This window comes from Homo sapiens, chromosome 2 (assembly GCF_000001405.40).
Source record: "Homo sapiens chromosome 2, GRCh38.p14 Primary Assembly".
In the NCBI taxonomy this organism is placed as follows: Eukaryota; Metazoa; Chordata; class Mammalia; order Primates; family Hominidae; genus Homo; species Homo sapiens.
The window spans coordinates 204298385-204311918 of record NC_000002.12 but is presented as its reverse complement, the minus strand read 5'-3'; the positions used below and the strand labels follow the sequence as shown (position 1 = coordinate 204311918).

Genomic DNA, 13534 nt, shown 5'->3' with positions numbered 1-13534 from the left:
GAATAACAACAGGGTATTTGGCAAAAGCCTTCTCGAATATCTTTATTCCTATTCAGTGTACCCACTTCTTTAGCCTGCGAAAGTCTCTAAAACTATTTCAAGAGCTCTTTGAAAATGACTCGCTGGAGAATCTTTTGGGTTGGAAGATTCCAGAACACCATTAGTTAGTTAACATTTCCCATGTTCCTGACATCTTTACTATAATACAAAATGAGTCCACTAAGTCACGGGCTTTATATAGCTCCATGATTTTTCTCCTGCATTTTATATTTGGCCATTGACTTAGTATGTAATTATTATAAAAAATCACACAGTGAATAGGACTAAGACATCAAGAAGCTTTAAATAAAAGAACAAAAACTATGGGATACCTTTGAACTTGAGACCATTTCATGTTCTTGCTGAATGCCTTGAGAAATAGCTACAGGTGTTCCTTGAACAAGGTCAGAGTGTCACACGGAGGATGTGGTGATAGAAATGAATCCATTCAAGGTAGCTCCTAAGCATGCTGGGCATCTGTTACACATCTAGTGTTGGCTGGGTGAGCAGCAGGTCTAGGGGTCTTTAATTCAGTGACTGTCAACAGCCACATAACAACCATGATAGGGCTCAAGTTGGCACCTTTATGACAACTTTAGTCAATAAGCTAAAGCCTGAAGACCATTGGCACAGTGTTTGGTGGAGGATTGAAGAAAAGTAAATGCACTGTAGAAGGTCTAAAGATTCCTGGTCAGAATGATCCCAGCTGGCCTCATTAGTTGGTGGTAATTTACATCAACATGCCCTCCCAAAGACTTTTTATTTATTTGTTTAGCCAAATAGGGTTACTGAGAGCCATTTGAAAAGAGGAAATAACATGTGCTACATAAAATTGTATTGTTTATTGTGAAAAGTGATTGATAAGGAAGATAAGATGGAGGTTTTAAAAATATCAATTCACAAGACCCGTTCACAGGGTCACCCCAGTGACCTTTCTCTAAGCAGGAAACAACTAACCCACTTTGTTTATCTTCTTCATTAGGACCAAATGACCCTCTTCAAACAGTGTCATGTCTTTTCTACTGGTTCTTTGGTGCTTTCCAGGGGAGTTCAACAAGAAGTAAAACCCTGAGGTTGCTATTAACTGGAAATTTTATTCCCCACTCCTGCTTAAGACTAACTAAGCGGAACCAGATTGTGAGAACTGGGCCTCGGCCGGGGGTGGTGGCTTACGCCTGTAATCCCAGCACTTTGGGAGGCCGAGGCGGGTGGATCATGAGGTCAGGAGATCGAGACCATCCTGGCTAACACAGTGAAACCCCGTCTCTACTAAAAATACAAAAAATTAGCCGGGAGCGGTGGCGGGCTCCTGTAGTCCCAGCTACTTGAGAGGCTGAGGCAGGAGAATGGCGTGAACCCAGGAGGCGGAGCTTGCAGTGAGCCGAGATCGCGCCACTGCACTCCAGCCTGGGCGACAGAGCCAGACGCTGTCTCAAAAAAAAAAAAAAAAAAAGAGAACTGGGCCTCATGAATTCTTCCAGACTTCAACCCTTTTATATGGCTACAGGGCCCTGGTACTTAACAGAGAGCAAGGCAGTTTCCAATTCAGCATTGAGGATGATCTGAACATGGACAAGGCTCACCTGCCACACAGCATCCAAGTGAGGCCAAAAGCCTGGCAGAGTCGCAGAAGTACAATCACAAGAGGGGATTGTCTGCCCTGTGCGGTCCATTGCAAAGGTCTTTGATGTTGGCTGGACATTAGATCACCTGGGAATTTACAAAAATAATGCATCCCTGGACAATGTCTCCTGAAAATGATCAAGATTTCCTTGAAGCCAAGGTTGAGACTGACTAATGAGACAATCAGTGTCAAGGGGATTCTTTAAGGTGGCTCCAAAATTTAGGATTTGGAGGCAGAGAGAGCCCTTAAGTACTGAGAGAGCTCAAGAAATAACTAGGCTCTTTCTCTACTTGTCCTTTGTTCTTCTCATTATATGCCATCTCCCTCCCTCCATCCTTTTGCCCTCCTTTGCCCTCTCTCCCTCTCTCCTTTCCCCCTCTTCTTCCTTCCTTCTTTCCTTCCTTCCCTCCTAACTTCCTTCTTTCCTTCCTTCCTCTTTTTCTTCCTTTCCTCCCAGGACATGAAGGAAGTTTGGGCAGTTTTGGTGGGGTAAGTCTATGTGGCAAGCAGTACCATCTCCAGGCCACAAAGTTTAAATGAATCTGCTTCAGGGTCTAGGTGGCTGGATAAACAGGTGCTCAGGTGACAGTACCAGGCTTCAATACCCAGCCCAATGTCACTGTTCCTAGGATGCTTTCCCCATCTCCCCCACTTAGAATTAATCTCCCCTTCCTCCAGCCTCCTATCTATAACACATGGGCTTTGCTTTTATTCTAGAAGTTCTGTTCGCTTCTGATTCTCTGTACGTGTCCATATGGTGAGGTGAATTGAGGCTTCTAACCTCCATTTCTTCCCCTCTCCTCCCTATCTGATTTGGGACAAGATGCTAAGTCAGGCAGGGAATAAATCTGGTAATTAGTGAAAAGTGACTAGAAAGAATCCAAATGTATCAGGTAGATTATATGTGTAGTCCTCAAAAGAAAGATAATTATCATGGCAGAACTATTTAATGTTACAAATCTATAAGTTAAAATATAATCAGCTCCAAGACACAGGCAAATGTCTCAATCACGTTGGTATTCCCAGGGCTCAAGGTATTGACTAGCACAAAGTAAAAATCATGACTTTAGTGAGGGTTAAGAGGTCAAGTCGAGGATCTGGCTGCTCACGTTTGAATCATGGTTTAACTACCCTAACTACCATAGTGAAGCCAAGGTAATGCCCAAGTTACTTAACTTTTCTAAGCCTCATCTTCCTCTCTATTAAAGGATCTAGAAAGAATTCCATAGAGTTTGTTTGTGAAAATAAAATGAGGCTCTCCATGTAAAGGTTCTTAGCACACTGCCTAGCACAAGTAAAGGCTCACTGTTTGCTATTATTATTAAAATATCTGTACAAATGAGCATGTGTCAGCCTTAGCCATGCCTTCTTTCCTTTGCACACCTCATCCAGCTCTCCCAGCCAGTATGAATGGAAATGGCATTATCTTCTGAGCATCAATTGCCTTCCTGTTCCTGTCCCTTGTCTTTGGGAGGTGCCTTTACCTCAAACAGCTTCTTTGGCCCTGAACCACTTCTGCTTACAGCCATTGCTTACGATTTCACCATTTAAGGGTGTATTCATTTTTTACCTGGATTCACCTGAATAAACATTCTGCAGCATGGAGAAGGGAGTGCATGCAGTGGCCTGCTCTGGACCGCACATGCCCTTGGCATAACCATGGCTGTCAGATTGGCTTAGAAGTCCTGACATACGACGCCACATCTTCCATTATCTCTCCCTTCCTTTAGCATCGAATTTATTCTCACTACACTGTAGTAATTAGATAAATATCTGCTGGATACTCCCAGACATCTGTGGGCAGTTTTGATGATTTAGAAGGGATGGTACTAAGCCATCTGATTGGGGACAATGCAGTCCTAAGTCAGCTGACTGGGGGAAAGTTGGTCCTAAACCATATATCCCTCCAGAAATTACCTTTAAATTATGCATATCTTTTCTCACTTCTTGGGAGAAACCCAGTGTGGTCTTTCCCTTCTAAAGGCAAGAAACAGATAAGAACATATGAGGTTTTGTTTCTTCTTTTCTGTATCTGTGATCAAAGCAAGAACAATATCCCTGAAGTTCAGGGCTCAAGGGTTCTGGACTTTAGAATCAAATCTCTCTTTATAATTTTCTTCTTCAGGCATTTCCAGGGGAAAATCATTTATTCTTGGTACAAGTGAAAAACGTGTTTGGGTTTGACCTGCTTAATTCTCCCTAAGTTAAACTACATGTGAATAAAGAGGCTTTTAAGGCAGATCCATGATACATTAAGAAACCAGAGCTCATTAAAGAAAAAGAAGTCCATGACAAGATTCCCTCCTGCCACCCTTTTGTAAAAACCCCATTTTAAAGATAATAAAAAAGTGATTTTTCAGTGTAATTTCACCCCTACTTGGGTGTAAAGGGCACAGAACCTTTTGAATAGCAAAAATTTTAAAATCCAGTGTCTTAAACTCAAATGCAATCTCTTTCATTTCCTTTCTGGCGTAACAGTGCTTCTGAAATCTATTTTACTGGCGTGAAGAAAGGGGTAGAGAAGACAGTAAAAATCCTGTGTGTTATCACTAGAACACCATAGGAATTCATTTGCTTCCTTCGAATTTACATACAACTTCCACTTAGTGATATTCCCTCTTTCTTTCTTCATGGTAGTTTTTATTTAATTCTATCGCCTTGCTGTTAGTATATACAAGGCTATACCCAGAAATTCCCAATCTTTTTTTTTTAACTTTAGACTTTAGATTTATTTAGGACTGTTTGCATGTGTTTCTAGAATATTTACTCTAAAAAATGACAAGACAGCTCCCCCTCAGTGAGACCCTGGCCTAAATATATATGCTTTATTTATATAGTGAAAGAATAACATTAAACACGGAAGCTCTCAATGTATGGCACTGAATGATGATCTACACAGGGCATCCTTCAAAGGTTGCAATTAAGGACCCACCTAGCTTTTCAGCAATACAAGCCCGATTGAGATCTTCTGGCCCATTCATGTTTATGCCTTAAAATTCCTTTTAGATTGCATCTTTGGAGCTTGCATAGCTCAGTTTACTTTTCATAGGTTCTAGTTGGGTGCCCACACACACAAAAAAAATTTTAAAAACCCCACAAAAACCCATCAACTCTTCTTTTCTGGATTCCTTAGTTTCAAAGTGTGCATCATACAAAGCATAGCAGCAATCGTTTTCAGGAAGCATTCCCACAAAATGTTTGAAAGGACCAGTTGTGGTTACGCCAACATCTCCACCAAGATCTCTGTGCCTTCTTCTACCATGAAGCACTTTTTGCCTGCACTGAAACAAAAAAAAATAAAAATAAAAATGACAGCCTTCTTCCTTTTCTTGATTTCTTCTGGTGTGGAGCATTTCCAAACTTTCATGTCATAAAAAATGCAACATCATCACTAACTTGCACTCCTGAGGCCATCTTCTCTGCAGTAGTTGCAGGGTCGCAGGACGAGAGAGCCAGTGGGCACTGAGCATCCTCCTCAGGGCTGTGGACCAAATCTTACCACGAAAGAATTTTCTGAGCCCTCCATGGTCACTGACCTCTCATCCATGCCTGCCTGTTAAGTAGCTTCCCTATCCCAGGAATTTAGCCCCACCTAAAACCAACAGTATGTTTTAGAGTTAAGAATAAATGCAGCCAGGCGCAGTGGCTCGCACCTGTAATCCCAGCAGTTTGGGAGGCTGGGGCGGGTGGATCACCTGAGGTCAGGAGTTTGAGACCAGCCTAGCCAACATAGTGAAACCCCATCTCTATTAAAAATGGGAGAATTAGCCGGGCATGGTGGCAGGTGCCTCTAACCCCAGCTACTGGGGAGGCTGAGGCAGAAGAATTGCTTGAACCTGGGAGAAGGAGGCTGCGGTGAGCCATAATCATGCCACTGCACTCCAGCCTGGGCAACAGAGCAAGACTCTGTTTAAAAAAAAATAAAAATAAAAATAAATGCACACATATATTCTTTAACATCTCTGATCTTAAGACTATACTCTAATCAGAACTTATGGAAAGAGCATGGAATTTGGATTTAGAGATATGGAGGTTTGAATTTGTGACTTTATACAAACGGCTTCACCTTTCTGAGCCTCAGTGTCCCCATCTGTAAAATGGAGATGATGATACGGATGTACTGGTCAGGATTCTGGATTCCTTCTCTCTTCCTCCCTCTTCTGTCCTGTCATGCATGACTGTGAGGAGACTGCTGTCCTTCCAGGCATCTTGATCTTTCACACAGACAAAAAGGAAGATGGTAGGTAGCAGGTAAAGGGCACAAGCCAACTGAATCTGTCATTTCTTGTCTGAAAGCAATAGCTTTCCAGAGAGCCTTCCCCAGGGAATTCACACTTACTACTCATTGGCCTGAGTTGAAGCACAGGGTCTCCCGAAGCTCTGAGGAAGCCCAAGAAATCAAATTTGTTTAGTTGGGATATTGTCCATCTGAACAAAAGCAGGCTGCTATGCATTTGGGAGGATAAACGGGAAAACGGATCCTGGAGGCCATGGCAGTGTTTACATCGGTCTACTTCACAGCATCATTGTGAGCATTACATGAGACATTTATGTAGAATGCTTAATGCATCCAAGGAGCTTGTTAACAGGTCGCTTCACAACACGACTTTGATGGGACCACATCCCTCACGTGGCCATGAGTGTGGATGTTCAGGAAGAAAACCAAATCCACACTGAAGGATTCCACAGGGGACTATGACACCTTCTGTCAACACTCTTGACCTGAATTCCCAGGCCTGAGGAGACTCATGTTCAGGGTGGTTAAGCCTCTGTCCCTGAAGCCACTCCCACAGGTGAGGAAACAGTGGGTCTGCCAAGACCTCGGCTGGTTTCAGAGCCCTGCACCATCCTCTGGGCTTGCCTAATTCTGAATATAATAATATGTTGATAAAATACCTTGTCAAGCTCCACAGCGTTCCCTGCCACACGATCTTTTTACACTTCTGCTTCATAATTAAAATTGAAAGAACACAAGCCCACTGGACCTGTCATTAGCATGTGGAGTGGCTGCCACGGAAGGGACGTCATGTTTGATTTCTAGGTCTGGCCCCACATGCTGGCAGGAGCCCGGGGCCTTTGTTCACCATGGCGATTCAACCTCCTCCAATTTCTTATCAAGCAAATGTGTGTGCATGAGGTGCCGTTTTTTTGCTCTTGCTGGCGAGTTGTAGGATAGAAGCCCTGTGATGGAAGAGCGGGGAGCGGGAAGAGACTTGCAAGAAGAGAATAACCTGAGAAAGACACAAAACTAGGATCTCACACACTGGTAAGAAAAATGGAGCCCTTCAGGCATTCACATGCTATTCACACAGAGTAGGACATATTCACAGTATCTTACGGCTTACATTTCTGAAATACCCCAAGAGCTGGGAAACAGCAGAAAAATACATATGTATACATATGGTGGGGGTGGGGGGTCTCTATTTCTGGCGTGAATCTTGTATCATTGGGACATAAATCAACCTTCTAGGATTAGAACCTATAACTCAAGCATGAAGCTACCAACCCCATGCACCAAATTTGGCTAGATACTGCCCGCCCCTAGGAAGAAAGAGAAAGCTGAAGTCTCCTGCATTCAACCACAGCTTCCTGTCCTTCCAAGACCCTGAAGAGAGTCAAAATCTAGTTAGTCTTTTCAAATGACAGCGAAACCCTGCCACAGCTGATGGAAACCAAGCCATGTCCTCTGTAGGCCCCGCTCTGTTGCAGCCTGTGCAGGAGGAAGGGTGGGCCGATGGGACAATTCATAGAGAAAACTTCAAGTGGAAAATCTTTTATACCCTCCAACACAGTATCTGGCTGAAAGCCAGTTATTCAGGTGCCAGAAACAGCTCTGTGGGTAGCAGCGAAGAGTGCAATCTAGAGGCAGGGAAGGCATCAGAGATGGTTTACACGACACATTAGTCTAGGCTATTCTTGTATCAAGTGACAGAAGCTGTATTCAAACTGACCTCAAGGAAGTTAAATAAGTAAATAAATAAATAACTAATTTTAAAAGGGATTTGTTACCCCTGTAACTGGAAGCTACAAAGGAAGATTCAACCGCTTTAGGCAGCTGGGTCCGTGGGCCAAACAAAATGGATTTGTTTTTCTCTCTATCTCGTGACTCTGCTAACCTCTACCTAGCCTTATTGTCATCTGAGCTGTCTCCACAAGACAGACACTGTAACTTGAATTTACGTTTTCTCTGGCTTAGCAGCTGCACAGAAAGAAAGTGTATGTTACTCATTGTTTTTCAGAAATGCTAGGTAACAACCACAAAATCTCAATAGTGTAGGAAGAATTTATTTAATCAATTTGAAGGTTGACTGTAGGGAGGCTTTACTTCATTCTAAGGCAGCCAGAGTAGCTTTGTTCCATTTGTGTTCATTCTTGGGCCAACGATGAAGGAATAAAGCTCCCCTGAGGAAGCTTTTCTCAAGTCAAAAGCAGAGGTACAAATCCCAAAGCACAAGCAAATTTCAAGCCCTTGCTCACATTATGTTTACTAATATCCCATTGACCAAATAAGCCATGTAGCCCAGTCCAAAGCCAAGGGGCAAGGAGATATGTCTTACATTTTAATTGGAAGAACTGCAAAGTTACAGGCCAAAGAGTGTAGATAGAAGGAAGAGTAAAGAGCTGGGACTAATCAGTCATCCACAGAAGACATCTCTTTTCCGGAATCCAGCTATCAATCTCAGCTTACATGCAAATGGGCCGCCTTGGTTGAGTAACATGCCCATCCTTGAACCAATCTCTAGGATGCAAGTGGGGAACTGAATTGCCCGCCTGAGTGATCCAGTGCATTCTATGGAAGTGCTGTTAATGATGGACAACAGGGCATTAGAATTGATAGCTCCTGGGGACGACATGGAGTGCAGGAAGAGCTCTCCAGAGGAACAAGAAAAAGGGACATGAAAAAGCAGACTTAGTGGATAGGAGCCATAGCTGCCACTGTTCACTGTAAGAATAACTGTCTGAACAATCACATGCAAATTGGTCACTACTCCTTGACTCCTCTGGAAGTGTCTCTGAAATGCGGGGAGGTAGGGAGGGAATAGAGCAGGCAGGCGAGGTATATGCTTATGATTCCTTGTCATGAGCTCTGCTAGTGCCATGTTCAGGGTGTCCACATGTATGTATTCACATTTATGCATACAAGCATATACATGCATACATGTATATTAGCATGATCCAACCTATTGTGCTAAAATCATGATTCTAAGTATGGAGTTAATATTTTCTGTGACTGTCACTATTACTATGGGTACATAACAAATTATCCCAAAATGTGGTGGCTTAAAACAATGGCAATGTTTTTTGTTTTGTTTTTGTTTTTTTTGCTAGCAAATCTGCAATTTGGGCCTGGTAGTTATAGTTCATCTCTGTTCCAAGAAGTGTCAGCTCAAAGGCCTCTGAAGTCTTACTTGGAGGAAGGCGGCAGATGTTAATAATAGAACAATAAATTCAGCTAATTTTTTCAGCCTTTCTGAGCCTTAGTTTCTTTATCCACAAAATGGGAATGCAAATACACATTATGGTGTGTATTTTTCACAGTTGTGAAAATTAAAAGAGATGATTTTGATAAAGATCCTAACCCAACAGAGTGTAGTAATCTTTTCTATCCTCCCACATATGCCTTCGAGGGTGTTCTTGAGTTATTTATGGTGGTTGGAGTTATGGCCACAATTTCTCCCCGAACATTAGGGCATAGAGTGTAACCCCTGCTATGAGTAAGTCCAGAACGGGAATCTGACCATTAGCAGACAGGACCCAGTGCCCTTTAGATCTATAGAGCTTTTAACTGAAGTCAGTAGGTTGTCACCTAATTGATAAGTGAAGGGACACATGAAATGCTGGGAACTAAGTTTATGTTAGTACTAACTTTAATACAAAAGTTAGCTTAAAATTGACAATGGTTCGATCCTTCCCAAAATAATGTGTAAAATAATGTGAAAACATAGACGTAAGAAAGAAGCAATTTATCCAAATAGTGTCATGATCTAAAAAGTTTTCTTACTTTTTAATCTTTCTGTTTGACACGTGTAAGTTCGTATGAAAATGCTGTCTATTGGGCCAAACATCATCTATTTGGGGGCTGTGCTACATCTCTCTGACGAGGAGCCTTTCTTTTGACACTTCTCAAATCATTTTTGAGAAAATTTTCTCAAAAAAATTCATTTTTTTCTCAGAAGATACAGTTTTCTTTCATGAGAGGTAAAATTTTATTGCCAATTCCTCCCAATCCACTTTCCACTTTTAACGAAGAATTATATTTTTCCAGGAATGGGTAACTAAATACAAATGTGCATTCTTCACTGATGCAGTTAACTAGGACTCTGGAAAGCCCACAATCCAGGAATCATCAACTCTTTTCCTGGGCCTCCATTCTTGCAAACTAAAGCTCCACAGTGATGGTTTCTACCTTATTCATTTGGGCCTAAAGAACTTTAATGGAAGATGGAGTTTGCCTGGGGTCATCTTAAGAATTTGGTTAAGAACCTGCAAATAGATTTTCCAGGCCACTCTGGGAAACTACACACAACAACAAACCTGGTCTCTTCAAGGTCCTTTAGTTTGGGATCTGCCTAACATAAGCTCAAACTCCAAGGGCTAATCAACACTCAAATTGAGGGTAAGAAATGTTGAGAGTAAATGAAAAGGAATTTGCTTTGTTAAATGTTTCTCTAGACAGTGCCCCTATTCTTTTCCTAGTAGGACAGCAAAGTCCCATTGGGAAGGCTGGCTAGCTGTGAAATGACATACATGCAGAAGAACTGTCTTCCAGATATCCCTCAACAACTAATTTGTCTCCTGAAGCATGAAATTTAATTACCCATATTGGACATACTTGCATAATCACATATTTTTATTGCACAAAATTGTTCAGTCTTTTAAAGTGTAGGGACAGAATCCTGGTTATAGAAATGTCTTTGACATCGGAGATTTGCACAAGTAAACATTTTGTGTGAATAACTATTTTCCAGTGTGGATTCTCATTTGCCGCCTTTTGATATTGTTGAGCATTGACTTGCACTCATATTTTGCTGTTATGTTGACAAAGGGGGACTGATAAGTTTTTATTAAACCCTTGTAATATTAAGCCCTGCTATCAAATTCATCCTAAGCTTCTGCTAATCCTCTTCTTTGTTGCCTATCATAGTACGTAAATCGTCCTCCACCTCTAAGCAAGCTCATACCCTTCTCCAGCACTTTTCAATCTCACTCCCACTTCTCTTGAAACAAGGTGACCAGAAGTGAACATGAGACTCCCCACAAGGACAGAGGCATACCACCTCTTCAAGGGAAGCCGATTAACTGTGAAATAACCAGCAATATTTTTAGCACTCTTCTCACTTTTATAAAAGAGAGTGAGATGTCACATTTACTTGGCTAATGGCTATTGCTCCTAGGAAAAGCTGAAATTAGCCTAAAAATGGCTGATCATGACTATCGGGGCAGAGATAGGAGAATTACCCCACTAGGAAGCCATGGTGTCCATTTGAAGTCTGGTTTCTAAGGCTCTTTGTAGAAGACTAGCTGGACATAAGAGGAGAGACATATACAGGAGTTCAAGCATGGTGCTAGGGGGTGGGTATGTAGAGAAAAAAGCAAATGGTCCAGGGAATGGGAAAATAGGGGGGACATAAATTTCTAATATTTATGCAGAACCTAATATATGCCAGGGAATATTTGTAAATGCTAGTCATGAGCTAGCTCATAATCCTTCCAACAGCCTGAAAAGGTGGGAACCATTATCATAATCATTTTAGAGAGGAGATAGAACCTTGGAGAGATTTTCTGAAGCTCTCTAAGCCAGTAGTCTTAATTGTAATACTTTTCACATCATTAGGCCTTTTGTTTTCAATGCATTTTCTTACCTAATCCCCAAAGCAATTCTATGAAGAAAGTACTCCTTTTAGAGATAGAAACCAAGTCCCAGAGAGGTTAAATAACTTCCTCAAGCTCACACAGCTTGCCAGTGGCAGAGATGAGGTCCAAATCCAGTTCTGTGTGATGCACCAAGGCATGGAACTCCAAGAGTGCCATGTGGTGGCTGCTGTCCCAGCTCTCCCCTCCCTCCATCAGAGCCAGCATGAATTTTGGGACACTGCCTTGCCCAAGGAAGTATGTGAAGTCCTGAGGTGTCACTAGATTTTCCATCTTTCTCAGTTTTATTTTATTTATTTATTTATTTATTTTTTTTTTTTTTGCTTTCTGTCTTTGGACTTCTTTAGAGCTTAACTGGTTCATGCCTTTGGCATTTTAGTCACCACCCTGCATTCTTGGGAAGCTCAAATTTGCTTGTTAGTTCTTAGGAGAAGCTGAGTTTGTAAGCAATCACTAAGTCCAGCAATGGTATGCTGCCAACAATCAATAAAAAACAGAAAAGCCAGAAGGCAACTAGAATGTAATCATCTGCGGGTGGTGTAGGGACACTCCCATGCCACTCTCACCCATTTCTTGAGATTTCTAACTGGTTACCCTTCACATGGAAGTCACTGCATCCCATAAGTGTAGTAAACGTTGACCCTCAGATGTTAGGAAGTAGAGCGGGAAGTCTCCTTTGATAAGTGCTTACCACGTAAGGACACTGATTTGTGCAACTGTATGTAAGTTACTCACCATGACTTCCAAAGCCAATAATGAATAATCAATATTATGTCACGTTGTCCACATCGAGTGTATCACTGAGCCAGCAATGGAACCCAGGCCTATGTAAGTCCTAAACCTGTTCATTTCTAGAAACATGCTCCTGAATAAAACCAATGGCACAATCCATTGGCTACTTTTTCTACTTGGTCTTTTGGGGGCAGTTATCTGTGTAAATAGCAACTAGAAATTTGCTATTTCCATACTACCTTGAGGATCTGCCATAATGGGAAATGAGACAAGAACAAAAGCCCCATCAGTTACTAACTATTTCTTTAGATTTCTGCTGTCATGGAGAACACAGTTATTGGGCTTTGTTTGCTGTGGCTGCAACTAAATTTCCCAAACCTGCTAAGTGAAGTCGGTGTATGACTGGCGCAGTGACCAGCAGAACAAAAAGCTACAAATTATCTCTATAGAACATTAATCGAAGGTCTCTGTGCTATAGAATCCTTTTCTCAATTAGAAAGCTGTCGAGGGAGTAATGTTCTCTCTAAAAATCATGATATACACAGCTCTATAAATCGATGAAAGACTTGTGACCATTAAACTTAATTGATACTGAATTTAGAGGAATACGTTTCAATCATGTTGCCATTTTATTTGAAAATTAGTTTCTGGCATTACCTCTTTCCTTCCCTCGACACGCAGGGACACGCAGCCCTCCAAAGTGAGCTAACCAGGAACCAGGGAGACTCAGCTCTGACTGCGAAGCCCTCAGCACCGGGCAAACACACAGAAGATGTTTCAAGGTGCTGTAAACAAGTAGACATAAAACAGGAAATAAAAACTGATTTCAAGTAAAATCAGCAACAACTTGGTTTTATATAGTACCCCATATGTTCCACAGGAATAATACCCCATGGCACTTTATAGGGAAAAAGTTAAAAAAAAAAAAAAAAGGCTACTCCAAGGACTACACTAGGAAAATAATTAACTTCTTGAATATGTTCTCAGGCTTGAGTAGGTGCAATTCTTTCCCTGAGATTACTGTTGGCAATAGTGCTGAGGAGCTGTTGTTTTCTGTAATTGGCTCTGGATGGAAGCCATGCTGAAAGCAAAGAGCAAAGACAGCTTTGGGTTAGAATGTTTGGAGTGTGTGAGAGCATGTATGTGTGAGTATGTGTATGTGTGAGCATATGTGTGCGTGTGTGTTCATATGTGAATTGCAGGAAACCCTCCTCAAATGTGATCAATTTATCTAATCTAGAACCATCATTGAAGCACTGTGACAAA

General features: G+C 41.7%; 1 pseudogene; it reads right to left on the bottom strand.

Moving 5' to 3' along the window:
• Positions 4375–5150, bottom strand: DSTNP5 (DSTN pseudogene 5; annotated as a pseudogene).